Genomic DNA, 25,212 nt, shown 5'->3' with positions numbered 1-25,212 from the left:
ACTCCAGCCTAGGCAACAGAGTGAGACTCTGTCACACACACACACACACACACACACACACACAAGATATCCAATTGTTCATCATTTGTTGAAACTTCGTATGTTGAAAAAAAGTTTTCTTTATTCATTGATTACTACACAGTCTTGACCTCCTTCATTTTGCCAGCCTTGCTATCAGATCCTTTGTGCTTTTCATTTCTTCATTTAATAAATACTGAGGGATAATTGGACACTCATATGCAAAATATGAATCTTGGCCTTTACCTCACACCATATACAAAGATCTACTCATAGTGGATCATAGATCTAAACATAAGATCTATAACTGTAAAGAACTTTTAGAAGGAAACCTAGGAAAAGATCTTTGGGGCTGGGCACAGTGGTTCATGCCTATAATCCCAGCATTTTGGGAGGCTGGTTTGGGAGGATCGCTTGAGCCCAGGAGTTTAAGACCAGCCTGGGCAATATGGTGAGGCCCATCTCTACTAAAAAAATACTAAAGAGATGGGGTCTATAGTGAGACACCATCTCTCCCAAAAATTAGCTGGATTTGGTGGTGCATACCTATAGTCCCAGCTTCTCGGGAGGCTGAGGTGGGAGGATCACTTGAGCCTGGGAGGTGGAGGTTGTGGTGAGCCGAGATTGCCTACTGCACTCCAGCCTGGTCAACAGAACAAGATTATGTCTCAAAACAACACACAAAAAAATTTGGGACTTGGCATTAGGCAAAGAGTTCCTAGATATGACAATGGAGCCTAATCCATAAAGGAAAAAAATGATAAATTTCATCTCATAAAAATTTACAACTTTTGCTCTAAGAAAGACACTGATAAGAGAATGAACTATGAAAAAATATTTGCACATCACATCTCTGACAAAAGACTTGTATCCAGAAACTATAAAGAACTCTAACAACTCAACAGTTAAAAAAAAATAACTAATTAAAAGTGGAAAAAAAGACTCATACAGACACTCCATCAGAGAAGATACAGGGATGACAACTGAACCTATGAAAAGGTGCTCAACCATTATTAGCCACCAAGGAAATATAAGTCAAAATCACAATGGGATATCACTCCCCACCTCCTTAGATGGCTAAAAAAAATACTGGTTGACAAGTTTGCAGAGCAACTTGAACTCTCGTATATTGCTGGTGAGGATGCAAAATGATACAGCCACTTTGGAAAACAGTTTGGCATGTTCTTAAAAAGTGAAATGTATTCATATAGTATGATGTAACCATCCTACTCCTGGACATTTATCCCATAGAAATGAAAACTTAGGTCCATGAAAAGACATATACACGAATGTTCATAGAAGTGTTATTTGTAATAGCCTGGAAACAATGCAAATGCCCTTCAGTGGATGAATGGATAAACAAACTGTGGTCCATCCATACCGTGGACTATCACTCTGTAATAAAGAGGAGCCAAGAATTGATAGAGGCAAAACCTTGGACAGAGCTCAAGACCATAACGCTGAGTGAAAAAAATAGCCAATCTTAAAAGATCACACACTACACAATTCCATTTATATGACACCCTCCAAAAGTCAAAATATAGAGATGGAGATCAGTGGTTGCCAGGGGTTAGGGGTGAGGCCAGGGCATGGCTACAAAAAGATAGGAAGAGGAAGCCTCTTCAGGTGATAGAACTGTTTTGGATGCTGATAGTGATGGTGGTTACACAAATTGATGCTTGAGATAAAATTCATAGAACTGTTCTCCAAAAGGAATTTAATTAAAATGCAACTTGAAAAAAAATGATGTAGCGGCCAGGCGCGGTGGCTCATGCCTGTAATCCCAGCACTTTGGGAGGCCGAGGCGGGTGGATCACCTGAGGTCAGGAGTTTGAGACCAGCCTGGACAACATGGTGAAACTCCATCTTTACTAAAAATACAAAATTAGTCAGGTGTGGTGGTGCACGCCTATAATCCCAGCTACTTGGGAGGCTGAGGCATGAGAATCGCTTGAACCTGGGAGGCGGATGTTGCAGTGAGCTGAGATCGTGCCATTGCATTCCAGCCTGGCTGACAGAGCAAGACTCTGTCTCAAAAAAAAAAAAAAAACAGATGTGGTGCCGCGAGTTCTCAGGTAGTTTCTTCCCACAACCCCATAGGCCATGGTGCTTCCCCTATAGCACCTTGGAAGGGATTAGAAAAGGGCACCGCCTCATGTGCAGAATGCAGCCTGTGCCAGGGCCCTCAGCCTGGCAAGTGGAGGACTGGCTGCATTGCAGCTCCACTTGTGCAGTGAGCAACCTACACGACTGTCCATGTTGGGTCCTGGAGCCCCCATCTTTTCTTCTCAGGCTCTGTTATTCCTCAATGGATGGAGTTTTGACAAGCAGTCCCCAGGGAGTAGGGATGAAGTGGGCTGTGCATTAAACCAGACTAGCCTGGCCGGGGCTTCTTGCTAATGGCAGCAAATGCACTTGGTGCTGAGGCTGCAGGCCGGTGCTTTGGGGGACCGGTGCTTAATGGCTTGTCTGCCAGGGAAGAAGAAGGATGGCCGGACAGCCAGACGCATAGCCAGGATCAGATGGATGGAGGGAGCAGGAGGACTTACCCCAGCCTGGAAATCCCCCTCCCTCTGGGAGGTGGGGGTGGAGAGTGAGGGGATGTGCAGGAAGGACGCTGCCAGGGAGACTGGCTCTGCCTGAGCCTGTCCCATGGCACATTTTGTCTGCTCATTAATGGTGAAGGTTGTCATTCCTCCGGAGGGGTGGGTTTCAGGTGGGCCCAGCCACAGCCTGCTCTGCCCCAGGGAGCTGGGGATGAAAATCAGGATCCCAGCTTTTTTTTTTTTTTTTGACGGAGTTCCACTTTTGTCGCCGAGGCTGAAGTGCAATGGCGCAATCTCAGCTCACTGCAACCTCTTCCTCCCAGGTTCAAGTGATTCTCCTGCCTCAGCCTCCCGAGTAGCTGGGATTACAGGCATCTGCCACCACGTCTGGCTAATTTTTATATTTTTGGTAGAGAAGGGGTTTTGCCATGTTGGCCAGGCTGGTCTCGAACTCCTGACCTCAGGTGATCCACCCGCCTTGGCTTCCCAAAGTTCTGGGATTACAGATGTGAGACACCACGCCTGGCCAGGATCCCAGCTGTTACATCCTAAGTGCCTGCTGGGTGCCTGGCACTGTGCCGAGGGCTCTATTGAAGTGGCAATAATGACAAAGCCTCCAATAACAATAATATAAACAAATCCTGGAGTGCATTTGGGGGCTGGGCCTATCCCTCCTAATAAATCCGGAGGCTCGTGTGCCTTTGTTCCACAGGTCCTGCTTTCCTGAGGCCACACAGCCTGGTGCTCCAGCCTAGCCCCATCTGCCTTTGACTTTCATGCACACGGCCCTACGGTCACTTCAGCCTCTTCAACCCCATCGCTTAACACTTCTGAGCTCCAAGTTTCATAAAGGTGAAAGGGGACTTTGCTTTTGCATATGTAAAGGAGGAGACACCAACTCAGGTTAGGCCTTGCCTCTTCCAGGAAGTCTTCTCTGACCCTCCCCAGAGTGGATGAGCGCACCTCTGAGAAACAGATTTCCTCACTTATCCTCAGGAGCAAATGAATCCATCTTGTGCCTGATGGTGCAGTGTTGAGGACAGACTCTCTGGGACCCCAGCAGTCACTGCACCACCCTGAATGGGCCCAGCTGATACTGTTAGGAAGGCAAAGGGACGGGAACTGCAGAGAAGCCAAGACAGAGCCCCAACAGCATCATGAGCCTCTGGATCAAACCATGCCTGAAACCCACTATCACCTCTGCATCATTTCCTTACATGAGCCCATTATTTCCTATCTTGGTTGGATTTTCTGTCTGTTGTAACACAGAGTTTAAACTGATACAGGAATTCACCAAACTGTGAAATGTGGCGATTTCAGGAGGGCATATAATGAGGGAACTTTCATTCTCCAATGCACATGTTTTATATCGTCTGTGGTTTTACAGTACGCATATAGCAAAATCAATGTCAGTGCTTCTGTCTTGAGAAAACCAGTGGACCATGAGCCTGCGGCTTGAAGAATCGGGTGGGTGATGGCGTCAGTAACTGAGGAGCAGTGAACTTGGGGGAAAGATGGCAGCTTTGATACAGGGGCATGGGAGATCTGGATGGAGCCACTACATTGGGTCCTTTCGGGGGCTGGTGCCCAGGAGGGAGTATGTGGGGTGAGGGAGAGTCAATGTCGGTGCCGGGTGGCAGGGTTGAGGAAGGTCGCACCATGGTCCCTGGCCAAGGCCTTACTCATTGGAGAAGTACACATTGCTTCTTTTCCCAGGACACTCCCTTTTGGGGCTGTCACCGTGCCTCAAGTACCCTCCTTGTTGGAACTGATGTCCAAGGCTACATGTGAGTGGTAGAGCCCATCAAGCTGCAAATTTCTTGGAAGTGGCCTTCCAGCCACCTCCCATTAGCACAGGAGGCAGGGACCTCTCTGATGGGGTTGACAAGCTGATTCCTCAAGCCTGAATCCATGCTGCAAGGACGGGTGTAAATGACAGTGGCGACATGCTTCTGTCTGAGGCTTTTCACTGCTTGGAATGACATCCCACCGCGCTCTGCTTCATCCTCTGAGGGCCCTGAGATGCAGGCCAGGCAGCCTTCTGCCTCAGTTTCACAGAGAAAAAAGTTCAGGCACAGAGAGGCCTAGCAACTTGCACATAATCACACAGCCAGACAGAACTGGCCAGAATTTGAACCCAGCTCTCCAGCCTTCAGACCTGGCCCTCTTTCTATTTCCACCGGATGGTCCTCACAGCAGGGATTGGGGCAGGGAATCGTACCAAGTGAAAGTCAGCCATTGAGGACTGCGGGTGGGTGGAAGGTGAAGAGGCTCCCTGGAGAGAGTGGAGGGACCCCAGGCGAGGGAAGCGTCTGTATAATCCCCACAACTGCCCTGGCCCAACGCATGTCCTTTGCTCTGCCCTAAGTGCCTGGTCCTGTGCTCTGTATTGGTCATCACCTTGAACCCTCAAACATCTTATTCTGAGCCCATCTTACAGCCAAGAAAATGGATGCTCAGAGAGGTTAAGGAATTTGCCTAAGGTCAATTAGTGAGGAATAGAGGTCTCTGGCCTGTTGGAGCCCAGAGCTCGTGCAAAGGCCCTGAGGTAGGGCCCAGGAACAGGGTGTGTAAAAGAACTGTAAGGAGTGGGTGGGGAGGAGGGGAGAAGCTGCGGAGGTCCCTCTCGGTCCCATCCAAACCTCACTTGCTCAAGCAAAAGTTTCAGGGTGTCGCTTCCTGTTCAGTGGAGCAAGGCCCCGTCCATACTGGCCTCGGTTTCCTTGGGATGGGGGAAAGGGGTGGCAGAAAGCGCCCCCTACCCTACCCTACCCCCAGTCCAAGTCAGAAGAAGTAGCTGCAGCTTCCGGGAAGGTTGTCTGGAGACCCAGAAAGAGAGAGAAGTGGGTGGGGACGAGGGGCACCGGTAATGAACGCGGTCTTCTGCCCGCAGCGACGCAGACTGGGCTGTAATCCGGGCCTCCTGGGCCAGCAGGGCCTGGCGGGCCTTCCCCAGCGCAGGTTCCCATGTTCATTTAGGCCCCGCGACGCCCGGCGGGACGCCCTTCCCTTTAGGGACAGGGGCGCGGGGCGGGGTCGCCGGTCGCGCGCGGGCACACGGGCACGCACACACGCGCGCGCACAGACGCTCCCGGAGCCGTCAGAGGAGGCGAAAGGAACCAAGAAGTGAAAGTGAGCAACCTCTAGTGAAAGAAATAGACATGCACAGACAGCTCGGAAACTGACGCGGTGCCAGCGAGCCGGCCTTCCCGGGCGCGCCCGGGTGCGCAGGCAGCGCGTTCCCCAAGCTGGGCGCGCGCTCGGCGGCCACCGAGGAGGGCCTGCCACTCGCTCGCGTCCCCCCAGTTCCTTTTCCTGCTTCTTGCTGCCTCCGCCTCTCAAGCAGCCGGGAGGTCCCCGCGCGAGGCCCCCAGCGGGCGCCCCAGGATCCATCGGGTCCCCCACGATCCTTCACGCCCTGGACCCCGGCAAAGCGCGGCTGGGCCCAGCCTTGAACCCTGGCGGCCGAGGGTCAGAGAGCTCTGGCGTTTGAGTCCTTTCGCCCACCAGGCCCGGGCTACCTGCAGAGTGGAGGCCTTTGCCCTCCCCCGCCTCCCCCGCCACCCGTCTGCACGGACTGTCCCTGCGCTGCGGCTCCCGGGAGCGCCCAGGCCCTGCAGTGGTCACTGCACAGATGACTTTGGCAATAGCCATCTCTTGGAGAAGGAACTTCCAAGTGACAGTCCTGAGAGGCCAACGGCCAGTCGGCTGATGTGAGCAGCGCCTGGCAGCCTCAGAAGGGCTCACCCTGCCCGCCTCCCTGCCCCCACCCTCCCTGCACTAAACCAGCTTTTCCAGCTCTGCAGCCTGGTCAGGTTTCTGGCAGGTGTGGGTTGTTTTCTGCCCCTGGAGCTTGGGTGGGAAAAGAGAGAGGTCTGAGAAGCTGGGTGCCCACCTAGTGCTCTGCCATGCCTGCATCCCCACTCCAGAGGCCCCCCAGGGACTCTCAGTGTGGAAACAGACCCCAACTTAACAGAAAAGGCTGGGATGCCTGTTGGCTGATGAAGTCAGGCCTTTTGGACAGATATCAAGCAGAAGCCATGACTAGTGATAAGGCTCCCCTTCCCTCTGGGTTTCGAGAGCCACAGTTTCGAGAGCTTGGTGGGCAGTAAACAGCCCCAAAGCTTCTCAACAGACACAGAAGGGTGTGGCTTCTTCCCATTGGGAAGCTATTGGTGGGAGGGTTGCCAGACCCTTCCCAGATCTTGTTTCAGCTGGGTGAGCCTGGGGACACTTGGCCACACAGGGTGTCCCCAACTAAGCTAGGATGCAAAAAGAAAATGCCTTGTCCCAGTCATAGCCCAGTGGGAGACAGAGGGGTAAACAATCAAAATGGGGTGTGAGGACAGCTCTGAAGGAGGCCTGAGCCAGGGGGTGTCCCCTGGAGGCACCAGGAGAAGCAGGGAGGGTGCTCTCAGCAAAGGCAGCCACATGGGAGTCTGGGGGGTGCCCAGGAAGCTGCAGACCCCAGAGGCCCCACAGAGCTCTGCAGACTGCCCAGTTGCAGAAAGCCTAGACCCACCATCAAAATCAAAATAGGGGCCGGGCGCCATGGCTCACGCCTGCAACCCCAGCACTTGGGAGGCCAAAGCAGGTGGATCTCTTGAGGTCAGGAGTTTGAAACCAACCTAACCAACATGGTGAAACCCTGTCTCTACTGAAAATACAAAAATTAGCTGGGTGTGGTGGCACACACCTGTAATCTCAGCTATTTAGGAAGCTGAGGCAGGAGAATTCCTTGAACCCAGGAGGCAGAGGCTGCAGTGAGCCGAGATCGCACCACCGCATTCCAGCCTGGGCAACAGAGAAAGACTCCATCTCAAAAAAAAAAAAAAAAAAAAAGACAAAAAAAAAAACCAAAGTGGGGAGCCCTCGGGGACTTGTGCCTCCTTTAATGCTAAAGATGGACAGACTAGGGGTCTGAGAGGTGGTGCCACCTGCCCAAGGTCACCCCACTGGCTAGTTTGGGCTGGGCCCTGGCACACAGTAGGTGCTTACTAATGGGCTGTGAGGACTGGAATCCGGGGAGCCAGAGAGAGGGCCACCGCCCTTCCGCCCCTACCATCCCACAGATCTTTACTGAGAGCCTTCCACTGCGCTGGGAGCTCAGCCACATGCGGAAGACACGAAGAGCCAGGTAAACAGATGGGAGCGCATGGGGAGTAAGGCCCTCCCGGAGGAGGGAGCCCGGGGACAGAGTACCCCAGGCCTATGCAAAGGCCCTGAGGGACAGAACGTGCTGTGTGGCTGAGCAGAGGAGCAGAGGCCAGGAGGGGCATGCAGGCTGCAGAGGGGAATTTGGGTTTGATTTCAAGTGCATGCCTCACACAGGACTGGCGTGGAGAGGGCAGGGGGAGCTGCCATGGGGAACCCAGGCCTGGCTGCAGCAGGCTGGAGAAGCGGCTCTAGGAGGAGCCTTTGCTCTTCAAGCGCCTGCACCTTTCTCGTTTCCCACCTCCACCCATTATCCAGAAACACAATGGCCCAGAGAAGGGGTTGATCTTCTGGCTCCCCCAGGGGCTTTCCCAGCCCCTCCTGAAGTCCCCTGGACGCAGCAAGGCTGAGCCTCATCACCCTCATTTGCCACCACCAGAGGAGGGTCATCGCCATCATCACCGCCGTCACTAGTGTCCCGGCAGTAGCATTTCTTGAGCGCTCGCTCTGTGCCAGGTGCTGGCCCAAGCCCTTCGTGTGCATCCTTTTGACAAAGCAGTGCTGTGAGCACAGGGCTCTTAACCCCATTTTACAGATGAGGAGACTGAGAGAGGCAGGCATCCAGACAAGATTGCATGCTTGACGCCTCCTCCAGGCAGATGCAGGCTCCAGGAGCTTGAGCATAGCCATGGTATGTGGCTGGTATGTCAGGTGGAGCTGGAGTCTTTTGTGGGGACTGTTGCTGGAGGTGGGAGGGGCAGGGACTGGGATTGGAGAATGCAGAAAGCAGAAAGGGACCAGATGAGGTGGCTCAATGCCTGTCATCCCAGTACTTTGGGAGGTCGAGGCCAGAGGATCAGTTGAGCCCAGGAGTTTGAGACCAACCTGGGCAACAGGGTGAAACCCCATCTCTACAAATAATAAAAAATTATTCAGAAATGTTTGGTTTTTTGTTTTGTTTTGTTTTGTTTTTGTTGTTGTTTTTTTCGAGACAGAGTCTCACTCTGTCACCCAGGCTGGAGTGCAGTTGTGCAATCTCGGCTCACTGCAACCTCCACCTCCCTGATTCAAGTGATTCTCCTGCCTCGGCCTCCCGAGTAGCTGGGACTACAGGCACCCACCACCATGCCCAGCTAATTTTTGTATTTTTAGTAGAGATGGGGTTTCACCATGTTGGCCAGGCTGGTCTCAAACTCCTGACCTCCAGTGATCTGCTCACCTCAGCCTCCCAAAGTGCTGGGATTACAGGTGTGAGCCACCATGCCTGGCCCAGGATTTTCTTTCTGTCCTTGGCGCTGTTTGCGTGATCTTGAGGGCCTCTTTGGAATCTCAGGGATGCCCTTCCACAGACGTATATAGCCCAGAGACTGATCAGTGGACCATCTTGGCATCCATGCCAATTGGCAGGAGTAGCCATGGTGTGACTGCACTGCACAGAAAAATAATAGTTCTTGGAGGCCTTTGTTATAATAGTTATCTCAGGGATTCCATTCTTGCTTTTGATCTGGATGAAAACAAATGGAAGAAAGATGAGTGCCCTCGGATGCCCTGCAAGCTGGATGCAACCTGCATTTTCTGGACCATGTACAGGGCAAAGTCAGATGCTGTAACTAATGATATCCTTCTCCCCGCCGCCCCCCGCCCCCGCCAAAAAAAGCAAAGTATTTGTTTGTGATAAAGTAGTTAATTAAAAAAAATAAAGAAAAAAATTAACTGGATGTGATGGCGCACAGCTGTGGTCCTAGCTACTTGGGAGGCTGAGGCAGGAGCATGGCTTGAGCCCAGGAGGTTGAGGTTGCAGTGAGCCGTGATCGTGTCACTGCTCTCAGCCTGCATGACAGAGTGAGACCCTGTCTCAAAAAATACAAGGCAGAAAGGTAGGCTGCAGGATGCAGGTCAGGGGGAGAGCAAAACGTGAGAGAAAGATATGTTAACTCCTTGCACACAGAGTGTGCACAGGTAAACATATACATGCACACGCTGGCATATAAAAATGCATGCACCTTGGCATGGACATGTGAACGCACACCTGCACACACAAGCAAGCACTGTATGCATGTGCGTGCACACACAAACACACACACATGGATTCACATGAATGCAACACACCACGTGTGTGCCTAGGGGTACACACATGCTGCACGTGCACGTGGACACCAACGCAGTACACGCACACTGAACCCCAAAGCAGGCCATCTGCACATTTCTTTCCTTAGCAATGATCATGGTTCATTCATTCATGCAATAAATGTATGTTGAGCCATTTTTGGTGCCAGGCCAGGCAACGGGCAATGCAGACTGAGCCAGGAGGGCCCCACAGTCCCAGCCCGATTGCCCCAGAGGAGCTCATAGACTAGACCGGGGGCAGGGAGGGGAGCAGACGGTAAGCAGGGAATTAAGCTCTCGTAGGGCATTTGTTCCTGTTGCCCTGGAACAGAAGCACAGAGAGCTCTGGGGCCTGAGAGCCATCTGTGGGGGCTGCCGGAATGAGCAGGAGTGAGGGGTCCAGGGTTTGGGCACATGACATGTCGGGAAGGGATCTGGCCAGGAAAGAAGAGGCTGGGGTGAGGCTCAGACAGGCCTAGCAAATGTAGAGTCTGGGTTTACTGACCCGATAGGCCCAGGAGCATTCCTTTTCCACCCCCTGCACCCACTGTGAGCTCCTGAGGGAGCCTCGGCTGCCCCCTCTCTGTCCCCACCCACTCATCTCCCAGTGCCCAGAACAGGTGAGTGCCTTTCAAATACGAGACTGCCTCTTGAATACAAGATTCTGTTCTGCAGTTGACACAAACAATGCCGTTTTGCCCTCTCCATCCACCTCTTCCCCGCCCCCACCACGAACACACGCAGCCCTCGGTTTCCCCATCTGGGCAATGGGTGTGTACCAGCCCCTCCTCACAGAGCTGTGAACTGAGTTAGTGGGAGACTGTGTTTCACAGAGGAGGTTGCACCGCTCCTTGCTCCTCTAGGCAAAGAGCAGCCCCTCGGAGGAAGCCCACGACACCCCCTCCCTGATGCAACCCTGGATGCTCACCCATCTCCCACCACACACGTGTATGTAACCCCCCGACTCCACACCTCACATAGACCCCCACCACACCTACCCTCCACCACTCCCCACGCCCCCCAACACACACACACACTCGCCGCCCTGGGCAGCCCAGCCAGTCTCGCCTTCCCCCGCTGAGCCCCCCTCAAATCCTGGACCCGGCAGTGACAAGCAGGCGCGGCCCGCGGCCACCCCCACCCCTGGCTGCAGGGCTGTGTTCATTGATCCGAAGATGCTCTTTCCTTTTCCTCAGGCGCTTCTCTGAAGGATGGAAAAATCGATGCCCGCAGAAGCACAGGTGCAGGGAAGGTACGGACAGTGCTGGGGAGAAGACCAAGGGCAGGGGAGAGCCAGACGCCGGGGTCCAGGCCGGCTGGGCTGCAGCGGGCTCTTTCTCACCTCCCAGAACCACCTCAGAGGCAGGCGTGGTCAGTCCAACCGCCAGCGCTGTTTTGTCTTTTAATATTTTGCCCTGACGACAAGAGCTGTATGTGCTCATTGTAGAAAATAAAAATCACTGAATCCATCCCCAGAGGTAACCTCCCTGCTAACGTGCACAGTAAATCCTTCCAGGCTTTTTTTCTCTGCACACTGAATGTGCTTTTTATTTTTGCAAAAATGGTACGTGCTCGACTGCTTTTTCCACCCAACACTATGCCACCGACATCCTTCTGTGTAAAGACCTGTCGTCAGCATCTTGGTATCTGAAGGCTGCACCATGATCTGTCTTGTTGGGTGGTAAAGGCATAGCACAAGGGTTAGGGTCAGAATCTTGGCCCCTTGCTATGTGACCTTGGACTGGTGGCTACACCCTCTGACCTCAGTGTGGTCCTCTTCTGGGAGATGGGGTTACTAAAGCCTGCGTTATAGCATTGTGGTGAGAATTACATAAGAAAACGGGCAGGAAGCACTCCTTTCATGTGGAGTCCGTCGAAAGCACACTATTGGCTGTGGCTATGATTATTTTTAATCTTTATCATTATACAGCTAAACAATTGTTTATTCAATCCATCCTATTATTGAACATATAGGTTGTTTACTCAACTTCCTTTAAAGAAGAAGGCTGCGGTGAATGTCCTTGCTAAGGGATCTTTGACAAATTCTCAATTATTAATCTTGAGAAATTTCTAGAAGGAAAGAGATGCACGTTTTAGGGCCTGTGCTACATTCTGCCAAATTACCCTCCAAAATGTCCCGATGACACTCTGTATTGGCTTCCTAGGGCTGTCAGACAAATGACCACGCACTCGATGGCTTAAAACAACAGAAATTCATTCTCTCACAGCTCTGGAGGCTCAAAGCCCAACATCGAGCTGTCATCAAGGCTGCATTCCCTCCCAAGATTAGAGGGAAGAATGCTTCTTTGCATTTTCCAGCTTTTCTCAGGGCTGGTATTCCTGACTGGTGGACTCATCACTCCAGTCTCCTCCTCTATCTGTCTGTCTGTCTTCTCCCCAAGTGTCTTATTCCAGGATAACCTCCTCATTTCAAGATCTTTAACTTGGCCAGGCAAGGTGGCTGACACCTGTAATCCCAGCACTTTGAGAGGCAGAGGTGGGAGGATTGCTAGAGCTCAGGAGTTTGAGAACAGCCTGGACAACACAGTGACACCCCCCATCTCTACAAAAAATAGAAAAATTAGCTGGACATAGTGGCACACACCTGCTTTCCCAGCTACTCAGGAGGCTGAAGTGGGAGGATTGCTTTGGTCCTGGAGTTTGAGGCTGCAGTGAGCTATGATTGTATCACTGCACTCCAGCCTGGATGACAGAGTGAGAACCTGACTCAAAAAAAAAAAAAAAAAATCCTGGCTGGGAGTGGTGGCTCACGCCTATAATCCCAGCACTTGGGGAGGCTGAGGCGGGTGGATCACCTGAGGTCAGGAGTTTGAGATCAGCCTAGCCAACATGGTGAAACTCCATCTCTACTAAAAGTACAAAAAATTAGCCGGATGTGGTGGCGCACGCCTATAGTCCCAGCTACTCAGGAGGCTGAGGCACGAGAATCATTTAAGCCCAGGAGGTGAAGGTTGCAGTGAGCCGAGATCGCGCCATTGCACTCCAGCCTGGGCAAAAAGAGCAAAACTCCATCTCAAAATAAATAAATAAATAAATAATTCTTACCTTAATTACATTGACAAAATGTACCTTTTTCCAAATAAGACAGCAGGCGCGGTGGCTCCTGCTTATAATCCCAGCACTTTGGGAGGCCAAGATGGGAGGATTGCTTGAGGTCAGGAGTTTGAGACCAAGGGAAGAGGGATTCTGTAGAACCCCTTTTCCTTCACCACACAGGATATTTTAATCTTTTTGAAATTTTTGGCCAATTTGATAGGGTAAAAGGATAACTTGTTTTAACATGTATTTCTTTTGTTGTTAGTGAAGATGAACCTACTCTCATATGCTTGTTGGCTTTTTTTATTTCTTATTTTGTGAATTACTAATTCATGTCCTTTGCATATGTCCCTATTAGGTATTCACTGTCTTCTAATGGATATGTGAGAGCTCTTTGTAGATGCAGGATATTGAGCCTTTATCATCTCTTGTAAATATCTTCTTAATTGGTCACTTACTTTTTAGGGCTTTTTTTCGTAGTTCTTCCATGTACATAACTTTCAAACTTTTTCGTAGCAAAGCTTCAGGAGGATTTTACCATCCGTTGAATAATTAAACAGGCCTTTCCCATCACATTCTTTTCATCTAGCACTTTTATAGTTCCACTTTTATATTTAAGTTTTCGTTTTGTCTGCAATTTATTTTAGTTATGGTGTATGTTAAGGCTAACAGCCTCCCTCCGCCCCCAGATATTGAACAGTTGTCTTAATACCATTTAATAAATAGCTCATCTTTTCCCTACTGATTTTAAATGATGTCTTTATCATCTATTAAATTTGACTAACCTAACCTAGCAGACTGAGCTAATGTTGACACTGCTCCTGCTGAGGAATATGGACAAAATTTAACAACAACAACAAAAAAAAATTGATCTTGAAAGAAAAAATGGGAGATCACCCAGTACTGGAGTTTGGGAGGAGGCAACTGGAGCAAGAAGCCATTCTGTAGCTGAGAACCCAACAAAAAGCAAGATCCTCGCTGAACAGGAGCTCACAGCTAAAAATGCAAACCGCAAAATGAACTGATCCTCAACAGGGAGTGTCAGCAGACAAAACAAGAAGAGGATTAGACCACCAAGAAATTGGGATAAGAGCACACTCCGAAAGAGACTACAAAAGAAGTGTGCTTTAAATTATTAAAAGAAAAAAAATAAGAAAATGAAAAGACACCATGAAAAAAGAGGCAGCCAGCCCTAGTGGCTCACGCCTATAATTCCAGCACTTTGGGAGGCCAAGGCAGGCGAATCATTTGAGGTCAGGAGTTCAAGACCAGCCTGGCCAACATGACGAAACCCTGTCTCTATGAAAAGTATAAAAATTAGCCAGGCATGGTGGTGAGCGCCTGTAGTCCCAGCGGCCACTCAGGGGTCTGAGTTGGGAGGATGGCTTGAGCCTGAGAGGCAGAGGTTGCAGTGACCCGAGATCACGCCACTGCACTCTAGCCTGGGTGATAGAGCCAGACCTTGTCTCAAAAATAGAAAACAAAAGAAAAGAAAACAACACAAACAAAAATAAGAGGCAAAGTTGAAGGAAAAACAAAGATCTTCTTGAAAGGAAAACCGTAGCCACTGAAAATAAATTTCAATGCCTTGGTTAAATAGCAGATAAGACGCAGCTGAAGAAGTGTTCATGAACTGAAAGACAGAACTGAGGAAATTACCCAGAATGTAGCCCACAAAGATAAAGAGGGCCAGATGGAGTGACTCATGCCTATAATACCAGCACTTTGGGAAGTCAAGGCAGGAGGATCACTTGAGACCAGGAATTTGAGACCAACCTGGGCAACATAGCAAGACTCCCTGTCTCTACAAAAAAATTTTAAAAATTAGCTGGGTGTGGTGGCACATGCCTTTAGTCCTAGCTACTGGGGAGGCTTGAGGCAGGAGGATTGCTTGAGCCCAGGAGTTCAAGGTTACAGTGAGCTGTGATCACACCACTGCACTCCCACCTGGGCAACAGAGTGAGATGCTGCCTCTAAAAAAATTTTTTTAAAGAAACAAAGATAAAGAGATAAATAATAAAAATAGAAACACATTGAAAAGAATAAAAGAGTCCAACATATGGCTTAGAGAAGACCTGGAAAGAGATAGATTATAAGGAGGATGGAAAAGAGATCATATTCAGCATGATAATGTCTGAGAATATTCCAGAATTGATGAAAGACACAATTCCTCAAATTTAAGAAGTGCATCAGGCTGGGCACGGTGGCTCACACCTGTAATCCCAATACTTTGGGAGGATGAGGTGGGAAGATAGCTTGAGCCCAAGAGTTTGAGACCAGTCCTGGCAACATAGTGAGACCTCGTCTCTACAAAAAATTAAAAAGTCAGCCAAGAGCAGTGGCGCAAAAAAAAAAAAAAATGCATCAACCACAAGAAGGATAAATAATAGTGAACCAAACCCAATTATCTATACCAAATATGTAATCCTAAAGACAAAGAAAATGACTTAAACCAGAAAAGAAGAAGAGATTATCTAACAGCATCCATAATAAAGACATATAATGGTGTTCTGAGTACATTGACTCTTTAAGTCCTCAAAACAACACTATTAGTGTTATTTTTATTTTATTTTATTTATTGAGACAGGGTCTCACTCTATCACCCAGGCTGGAGTGCAGTGGCATGATCACAGCTCACCACAGCCTTGACCACCCAGGTTCAGGTGATCCTTCCACCTCCTCCCAAGTAGCTGGGACCACTGGTGGCACGCACCACCAGGCCCGGCTAGTTTTTGTATTTTTTGTAGAGATAGGGTTTCGCCATGTTGGCCAGGCTGGTCTTGAACTCCTGACCTCAAGTGATCCACCTGCTTCAGCCTCCCATAGTGCTGGGATTACAGGCTTAAGCCACCGCACCCAGCCAACTATTAATGTTATTATCCACATTTTAAAGATGAAAAAATCAAGCGACAAAAAGCTTAAGTAATCTTTATTAGTTAATGCTACTTAATTTTTGTTACAATAATGACCCCTGAAGAATTTGGCCAGGCGTGGTAGCTCATACCTGTAATCCCAACGCTTTGTGCGGCCGAGGCAGGCAGACTGCTTGAGCTCAGGAGTTCGAGACCAGCCTAGGCAACATGATGAAACCCCATTTCTACAGAAAGTACAAAAATTAGCAGGGTGTGGTGACATACGCCTGTGGTCCCAGCTACTTGGGAGGCTGAAGTGGGAGGATTGCTTGAGCCCAGAAGGTCGAGGCTGTAGGGATCTGTATTGCACCACTACACTCTAGCCTGAGCCAACAGAATGAGATCCTGTCTGAAAAAGAAAAAAAAAAAATCGGCCAGGCGCAATGGCTCATGCCTGTAATCCCAGCATTTTGGGAGGCCGAGGTGGGCGGATCACAAGGTCAGGAGTTTGAGACCAGCTTGGCCAATTTGGTGAAACCCCATCTGTACTAAAAATACAAAAATTAGCTGGGCATGGTTGTGGGTGCCTGTAGTCCCAGCTACTTGGGAGGCTGAGGCAGGAGAATCACTTGAACCCGGGAGGCGGAGATTGCAGTGAGCCAAGGTCGCACCACTGCACTCCAGCCTAGGCGACAAAGCAAGATTCTGTCTCAAAAACAAAAACAAAACAAAACAAAAATCACACTTCCCTATGACTTTGCTACTCCTCCCCTTAAGAGGATACTCTTGCCACAGAGTGAGAAGCTGAGTCCTTTTCAACCCCTTTTGAATCTGGAATGGCCTTGAGATCTCACCAATGGAGGGTAGCAGAGATGATGTTATGCCTCTTTCAAAGCCAGGCCTTAAGAAGCTGCAAGACTTCTACCTTTGCTATCTTAGAACAAACAATTACACGACAAGAAGCCCAGTGTAGGCAGGGCACAGTGGCTCACACTTGTAATCCAAGCACTTTGGGAGGTCAAGGCAGGTGGATTGCTTGAGTCCAGGAGTTCAAGACCAGCCTGGGCAACGTGGCAAGACATCGTCTCTACTAAAAATAAAATAAAATAATCAGTCAAACCTGGTGGCATACACCTGTGGTCCCAGCTACTTGGGAGGCTGAGGCGGGAGAATCACTTGAGCCCTAGAGGCAAAGGTTGCAGTGAACTGTGATTGTGCCACCACACTCCAGCCTGGGCAACAGAGTGAGACCCTATCTCAAAAAATAAAAAATAAAAAGAAGCCTAGTGTAGATTCTGTTGGAAGGGAACCACCCATTAGATGGCCAACACCACCTGCCAGGCATAGCAGTGAGTTCATCTAGAACCCTCCACCCCAGGTGTTATGGGCTGAATTACATCATTTCCTGCCCCCCTGCCTTGCCACAAATTCACATGTTGAAGTCCTAACCCCACTACTTCAGAATGTGATTTTATTAGGATCGAGGGCCTTTTTTTTTTTTTTTTTTTTTTGAGACGGAGTCTCGCTCTGTCGCCCAGGCTGGAGTGCAGTGGCGTGATCTCGGCTCACTGCAACCTCTGCCTCCCAGGTTCAAGTGATTCTCCTGCCTCAGCCTCCCAAGTAGCTGGTATTACAGACGCGTGCCACCATGCCTGGCTATTTTTTTGTATTTTTGGTAGAGATGGAGTTTCACCGTATTAGCCAGGATGGTCTCAATCTCCTGACCTTGTGATCCACCCGCCTTGGTCTCCCGAAGTGCTGGGATTACAGGCGTGAGCCACCATGCCCGGCCGATAGAGGGCTTTTAAAGACATAATTAAGGTAAAACGAGGTCATATAGGTGGGCCCTAAGCTAATGTGACTAATATTAGGGCCAGGTGCAGTGGCTCACTCCTGTAATCCCAGCACTTTGGGAGACAGAGGCGGTTGAATCACGAGGACAAGGTCAGATCGAGACCATCCTGGCTAACACGGTGAAACCCCGTCTCTACTAAAAAATACAAAAAATTAGCTGGGCGTGGTGGCGGGTGCCTGTAGTCCCAGCTACTTGGGAGGCTGAGGCAGGAGAATGGTGTAAACCCGGGAGGCAGAGCTTGCAGTGAGCCGAGATGGCACCACTGCACTCCAGCCTGGGCAACAGAGCAAGACTCCATCTCAAAAAAAAAAAAAAAAAGAGAGATTAGCACACAGGCAAGCACTGTGTGCAGATGCTGAAAGAAAGGGGCATCTGTAAGCCAAGGAGAGAAGAAACCAACTGTGCCAATATCTTGACCTGGGACTTCTATCGTCTAGAATTGTGAGAAAATACCTTTCTGTTATTTATTTATTTATTTATTTATTTTATTTATATTGAGACAGAGTCTTGCTCTATCGCCCAGACTGCAGTGCAGTGGTACGATCACGGCTCATGGCAACCTCCACCTCCTGGGGCTCAAGTGATTCTCCCACCTCAGCCTCTTGAGTAGCTGGGACCACAGGTGCATGCCCCCACTCCTGGCTAGGTTTTATTTTGTATTTTTATAGAGACTGGGTTTCACCATGTTGCCCAGGCTGGTCTCAAACTCCTGGGCTCAAGCGGTCTTCTTGCCTCAGCCTCCCAAAGTGCTGGGATTACGGGTGTGAGCCACCGTGCCCAGCAGCTTTCTGTTTTTAACCCACCCAGCCTGTGGTATCTTGTTAAGGCAGCCCTAGCAAACGAATATATCATTCAAACCGCAGGTGAGAGCAGCCATGTGAAAGACCCCAGGCAAGACTAGCAGAAGAGCTGCCCAGCTGAGCCCAATCCAAATTGCAGAATTGTGACTGTAGATAACCAGGCACAAATTCACAAAATGATGAATGGCAGGGCCAGGACTTGGACCCAGGCAGCTCAGGAGTCCAGGACACATGCCTTCACCACTGGCACGAAGCCCACAAAGAAACAGCGAAGCCCATCAGCAATGACAGAGGACAAAAATGTAATTATCATCTCTTCAAGAGGACGAAGGAAAATATTTGTCAACCAAAACTGTCTTTCAGCTCAACTGTCTTTCAAGGGCAAGGGCAAAATAAAGACATTTCAGACAAAGACTGAGGAACTTTACCACTCACAGCTCTTTGCTGAAAGAGCTAGTAAAAGATGACCTAAGGAAGAAGGGAATCAAGCCCTGTACCAAGCACATTCTGCAAGAAGCAATGAATGGAGATATGGAAACATGGGTAAAATCTAAATAAGAGCTGGCCGTAAAATCAACAATCATAATTACCAGTGGTGGATTAAAACAAGGTGGAACTGCCGGGCACAGTAGCACATGCCTGTAGTCCCAGCTCCTCAGGAGGCGGAGCAGGAGGATCATTTGAGGCCAGGAGCTCTGGGCTGAAGTTGACTATGCCAGTTGGGTGCTGGTGCTAAGCTCTGCATCAATATGACGACCTGCCAGGAGGCCACCAGGTTACCCAAAGAGGGGTGAACTGGCCCAGGTTGGAAACAGAGCAGGTAAAAATTCCTGTGCTAATCAGTATTGGGGTGCAGCCTATGAATAGCTATTGCACTCCAGCCTGGGCAACATAGCAAGGCCCTGTTTCTAAAAAAATAAAAAATAAAGAAAAGGTGGAACTAAATATTAGGCAATCATAATATAGTGTTTGGAAGGTGTCACTGGAGTCAAATCACTCCAAGATCTTGTACTATCTAGCAGGAGGGTGAAAAATAGTGATTTTGATTATAAGTCAATTTTTTTTTTTTTAGACGGAGTTTTGCTCTGGTTGCCCAAGTTGGAGTGCAATGGTATGATCTCGACTCACTGCAACCTCCACCTCCCAGGCTCAAGCGATTCTTCTGCCTCAGGCTCCTGAGTAGCTGGGATTACAGGCATCCACCACCATGCCCGGCTAATTTTTTGTGTTTTTAGTAGAGATGGGGTTGCTCCATGTTTGTCAGGCTGGTCTTCAACTCCTGACCTCTGGCGATCTGCCTGCCTAGGCCTCCCAAAGTGCTGGGATTACAGGTGTGAGCCACTGTGCCCAGCTGAAGATTATTAAAAAATTTTATGCATGATAAAAACCTAAAGATAATCTCTAAAAGGCATAAAAGGAATGTGTAACTTTCAAACCAATAAAGGGAAAAGGTGAGAAATAAAGAAACACAATCAATCTGATAGCAAAAAAGAGGAGGGAGGGAGAGGGGAAAGCTGTGGGTGTTTTGTATGTTGATTTTACAACTGGCTACTTTGGTAGAATGCTTTCATTATTTAATAGTTTTTCATTTGCTTCCCTTGGATTTTCAAGTGGACAATTATAATATCCACAAGTAAGGATAATTTGTCTCCTTTTTAGTGGCTGTCCTTTAATTTGTGTTTCTTGTCTTATTGCATTGTCCAGAACTTTCACAGCAATATAGCATTATAGAGCATATATAAAGCATCCTTGCCACGTTCAAGACATTGCTAAGAATGCTTCCAGTACTTTTTAAATTTTATGTTATTATTTATTTATTTATTTATTTTGAGACAGAGTCTCGCTCTGTCGCCCAGGCTGGAGTACAGTGGCGCAACCTTGGCTCACTGCAACCTCCGCCTACCTGGTTCAAGCAATTCTTCTGCCTCAGCCTCCCGAGTAGCTGGGACTACAGGCATGCGCCACCAAGCCCAGCTAATTTTTGTATTTTTAGTGGAGATGGGGGTCTCACTATGTTGATGATCTCTTGATCTCATGATCCGCCCGCCTCAGCCTCCCAAAGTGCTGGGATTACAGGTGTGAGCCACCGCACCCGGCTGCTTCCAGTATTTTAATGTTAAATGAGATGTTGACTCTTGGCCTGAGATAGATGTTCTTTGTCATTGAATTATTCAGGATAAGCTAGATTGTGCTGCAGTAACAAATAATGTCAAAACCTCACAGCTTGAGAGAAGTTTATTTCCTGCTCATACCAAGTCGCCTGTGGCTCCAGGCAGACAGCTGTGATGTGGTCGGCATGGTCCTTCTGCGTAGCAGGTGGTCTCATGCTTGCTGAGGCAAGGGAAGAAGAGTTGGAGACTCTCATACTGGCAATTCAATGTTTCTACCTAGAAGTGGCATGTGTTACTTCCACTCACATTTTATTGGATAAAGCAAGTCACACGGCCCTGCCTAACCCCCATGGGAAGTGTGGGCCCAGCCTGGAAGGAGGAATGGAAAGGTTGGCGAACACACAGATGTTGCCACAGTCATGGGAATCTTACACTTGGGACCCCGAAAGACCCTAAAAGTCAACTTGAGGAGTCATTAGGCCTTGGCAGTCTGATTGGTAGCAGCAGAGGCTAAAGATGAGGTGAAGTTGTGCATTCACAGGCACTGGGGGCTTCTGTTGCCGTTGGAGTCTGGCTGTGCAGTTGTTTCCTTCTTTAATTCTGGGGCGGGGGGAGGGGTGGTCTCTGAATCCTCATAATGAATTTTCCCCTTTTCTGAACTCATTTGAGTAGATTTCTCTTACTTGTGACCCAAAGAGTCTCAATCAGGGTAATTTGCGGGTATTTTATTAAGGACTTGTATCATGTTCCTAAGCAAGACTGGTCTGTAGTTTTGTGTTATCTGCCAACCTTTTAGGGTTATACTACATTCTGTTGTTGTTGTTGTTTGAGGCAGAGTCTTGCTCTGTTGCCCAGGCTGGAGTGCAGTGGTGATCTCTCAGCTCACTGCAACATCCACCTCCTGGGTTTGAGTGCCTCCGCCTCCCAAGTAGCTGGGACTACAGGCGCGCACCACCACGCCTGGCTAATTTTTGTATTTTTTTTTGTAGGGACGGGGTTTTGCCAAGTTGCCCAGGCTGGTCTCAAACTCCTGACCTCAGGTGATCCACAACCCTCAGCCTCCCAAAGTGCTGGGATTACAGGCGTGAGCCACCAACGCCCGGCCACTATATTCTTAAGATGGTTGGAGAGGCTTTCCATCTTTCCTGTGTCCCAAAACGGAGTATTTGAAAGAACTTACTAGTAAAAGTGTCAGGACCCAACACTTCCCTAGGAAGTCTAGGAAGTAGCTCTTTCTCTACCTATTCTTTTCTTTTTCTTTTTTAAAAAATTATTTAATTATTTTATTTTGAGACAGAGTCTTGCTCTGTTACCCAGGCCGTCCAGAGTGGAGTGCAGTGGTGCAATCTCAGCTCACTGCGGCCTCGACCTCCCGGGCTCAAGCAATTCTCCCACCTCAGCTTCCAGAGTAGCTGGGACTACAGGTGTGCACCATCACACCTGGCTAATTTTGTTCATTTTTTGTAGAAATGGGATCTCACTATGTTGCCCAGGTTGGTCTCGAACTCCTGGACTCAAGGGATCCTCCCACCTTGGCCTCTCAAAATATAGGGATTACAGGAATAAGCCACCAAGCCCAGCCCTACCTTTCCAATTTATCCTGCAGTAATAGGTTTTTTTGGTTTTCTCCTACTTGTGGAATCAGTTTTGGTTATATGTATTTTCTTATTAAAATATCTATTTGTTCACATTTCCACATTTATTATTCTAACTTTGCTTATTATAATTTAATTTTTAGAATTTCCTTTTTTGCCTTTATTGTCATGCATTTGTTTCTCTCTGCTTATTTTCTTTCCATCTGCTAGAAGTTTACCTAATTTATTAGACTTTCAAAACACCAAGTCATGTAATTATTTTTATTTCTAGCGTTTTTCTCTTTTCTAATATATTAGATTCTTCTTTTTATCTTTATCGATTCCTTCTTTCTCCTTTCCTTAGCTTTATTTTGTTCTTTTTTCTAATTTCTCCAGTTGAATCTTAATTTATTGACTTTCATAATTTCTTATTTAAGAAGTTCATAACACTGAGTATGAATTTCCTCCTTGTAACATTTGAGCCATTTTCCCATATGTTTGGATATGTGGTATTTGCAGTGTAACAGTTTGTCATGTAGGTTTTATTTAAAGTTATTTACGAAAGTGGTTTTTAATTTTCAAATGGTTGGCTTTTTAATTTAAACTTTTGTTAATAATTTCTAGCTTAATTGCACTGTGGTTAAAGAATGAAGCTCTCACTATATCTGCTTTGGGGGTTCTATTGAGTTTTTCTTTGTGGCCTAATATATGATCAATTTTTATAAATGTTTGATGGACTCTGGCAAAGAAATGAGTACCTTTTATTTGTAGGGTACTAAGTTCAATTATTAAATCAATCTTATTCATTATATTATTCCGATCCTACATTAATTGTTGGGGAGGTACTCTTTAAATATGTAAAAGAGGCTGGGTGCGGTGACCCACGCCTATAATCCCAGCACTTTGGGAGGCTGAGATGGGCAGATCATATGAAGAAGCCAGGAGTTCGAGACCAGCCTGGCCAACGTGGCAAAACCCATCTCCACCAAAAATACAAAAACTAGCCGGGCGTAGCGGTACACGCCTGTAGTCCCAGCTACTCAGGAGACTGAGGCAGGAGGATCCCTTGAACCCAGGAGGCAGAGGTTGCAGTGAGCTGAGATCGCACCACTGCACTCCAGCCTGGGCGACAGAGTGAGACTCTGTCTCAAAAAAAAGACTAAATATGTCAAAGACAGACATGTGTTAAAGACTCCTCCTCGCACCACAGTTTTTTCTTTGACCGTGTATGTGTGTCTAAGATATCACTCTCTCTGGTTGGAGCCAGTGCTGTGTAGGACATAAAGTATCATGACAATCAGATATTTCCTGCGGCTTGTCCCCTCTACCAATTCAAAGGACCTCGCGTCCCATCTCATGATTTTTGCCTGTGATTCTTTATCTGATATAAATATTATTACCTTTGCTTTTATTGAACTTGAATTTGCCTCATATGCCTTTGTCCAGTCTTTTGTATTTTTAACCTCTTTATGTCCTTCGGTTTTCTTTTTTTTTTTTTTCTGAGATGGAGTCTCAGTCTGTCGCCCAGGCTGGAGTGCAGTGGCATGATCTCAGCTCACTGCAACCTCCACCTCCCAGGTTCAAGCAATTCTCCGCCTCAGCCTCCCGAGTAGCTGGGATTACAGGCGCCCACCACCATGCCTGGCTAGTTTTTGTATTTTTAATAGAGACAGGGTTTTGTCGGGGATTATAGGCGTGAGCCACCGCACCTGGCCTGCCACAGTTTTCTGACATCTTCTGCAGCTCCTTTCAGAAATTACTGTTGGACGGGCATGGTGGCTCACACCTATAATCCCAGAACTTTGGGAGGCCGAGGTGGGCAGATCACTTGAGGTCAGGAGTTCAAGACCAGCCTGGTCAACGTGGTGAAACCCTGTCTCTACTAAAAATACAGCTTCCAGGTCTCTGAATGGGAGCAAATTATGGGAAAGATCCTGGGGACTTTCCTACCTTCATCCCTGGTCCCTGAGTCACAAGTTTCTCTCCAACATTGTCCTCTGCCGTGATCATTAGTAGAAACTCCTCCCAGCTTCTGGTATGAGTTTGGCAGCCATCTCTGTTTCCAAACCAACTGAGGTTTCATCTTTTTCTCTGCCTTCCTGGGTATTTAGTGGAAAAATAAGAACGGCTGTATCAGGCGTTTCTCCATAGATGTCATTTTATCCTGAAATCCACAAGTTCCTAGCTGTTGGTTTTTGTGTGTTTGTTGACCCAGACGTATTCATCCCCATATTCATTTAGTCCCAGAAAAGGAAGCCTTCACCGCTCTGCCTCATAGGGGATATTGGGAAATAAATCAGCCAATAATCCAGGGGAATTTTGGAAGGACGAAGGAGTGGGGGCAGGCTCAGGTCCCGGCCCTTCTTCCCTCTGCTGTGAAAAACCTATTTCCCCAGAGGTCTCTCCATCTCGGAAGCCTCGGTCTCGTGCCGTTGTACATATTTCTTTTTCTCTGTCAGTCTGTCTTGCCTTTTCTTTCTTTTTTTTTTTTTTCCTGAGTCTCACTATGTCGCCCAGGCTGGAGTGCAGTGGTGTCATCACGGCTCACTGCAACCTTGACCTCCTGGGCTCAAGCGATCCTCCTGTCTCAGCCTCCCAAGCAGTTGCGATTGTAGGTGTGTGCCACCGCGCCTGGTCACACACATTTCTTGAGCACCTGCTTTGCTCCAGGTTCTGGGGAAGAAACAGATCTGAGATTCCTGTCCTGATCGTGTGTGGCTTCCATCTCCTGGCTTTAGAGCATCATCTCCACTTGTCATCACGGCTTGTGGTGGGTTTTTTTGTTTTGTTTTGAGACAGAGTTTCACTCTGTCGCCCAGGCTAGAGTGCAGTGCCGTGATCTCCACTCAGTGCAAGCTCCGCCTCCCGGGTTCACGCCATTCTCCTGCCCCAGCCTCCCAAGTAGCTGGGACTACAGGCGCCCGCCACCGCGCCTGGCTAATTTTTTGTATTTTTAGTAGAGACGGGGTTTCACCATGTTAGCCAGGATGGTCTCGATCTCCTGGCCTCGTGATCCACCCGCCTCAGCCTCCCAAAGTGCTGGGATTACAGGCATAAGCCACCACACCCGGCCAAGGGTTTTTTTAATATAACCCTGCTAGTCACCTGCTAGACTGGCAGCTCCGCAAGAGCAGGGACA

General features: G+C 48.5%; 1 long non-coding RNA gene and 1 pseudogene across 1 annotated transcript, besides 2 other annotated features; one reads left to right on the top strand and one right to left on the bottom strand.

Moving 5' to 3' along the window:
* Positions 5,522-5,641: a silencer, noted in NCBI's record as "silent region_20373". NCBI's record gives its function as "represses an Ori minimal core promoter by ATAC-STARR-seq in GM12878 lymphoblastoid cells {active_cell/tissue: GM12878}" and the evidence as "EXISTENCE:reporter gene assay evidence [ECO:0000049][PMID:35858748]".
* Positions 5,792-6,011: a silencer, noted in NCBI's record as "silent region_20372". NCBI's record gives its function as "represses an Ori minimal core promoter by ATAC-STARR-seq in GM12878 lymphoblastoid cells {active_cell/tissue: GM12878}" and the evidence as "EXISTENCE:reporter gene assay evidence [ECO:0000049][PMID:35858748]".
* Positions 19,007-19,298, top strand: RN7SL159P (RNA, 7SL, cytoplasmic 159, pseudogene; annotated as a pseudogene).
* On the bottom strand, positions 20,606-24,460 carry LOC107987038 (uncharacterized). The gene is made up of 2 exons (XR_001746582.2): positions 24,024-24,460; positions 20,606-20,719 (listed from the first exon to the last, which is right to left on the bottom strand). It is a non-coding gene; the product is annotated as an uncharacterized LOC107987038 (long non-coding RNA).
* Between the last annotated feature and the right edge of the window lie 752 nt (positions 24,461-25,212).

The sequence above is a fragment of the Homo sapiens genome, chromosome 9 (assembly GCF_000001405.40).
Source record: "Homo sapiens chromosome 9, GRCh38.p14 Primary Assembly".
NCBI classification, from domain to species: Eukaryota; Metazoa; Chordata; class Mammalia; order Primates; family Hominidae; genus Homo; species Homo sapiens.
The sequence above is the reverse complement of the archived record's forward strand: the minus strand, read 5'-3'. Positions and strand labels throughout refer to the sequence as shown.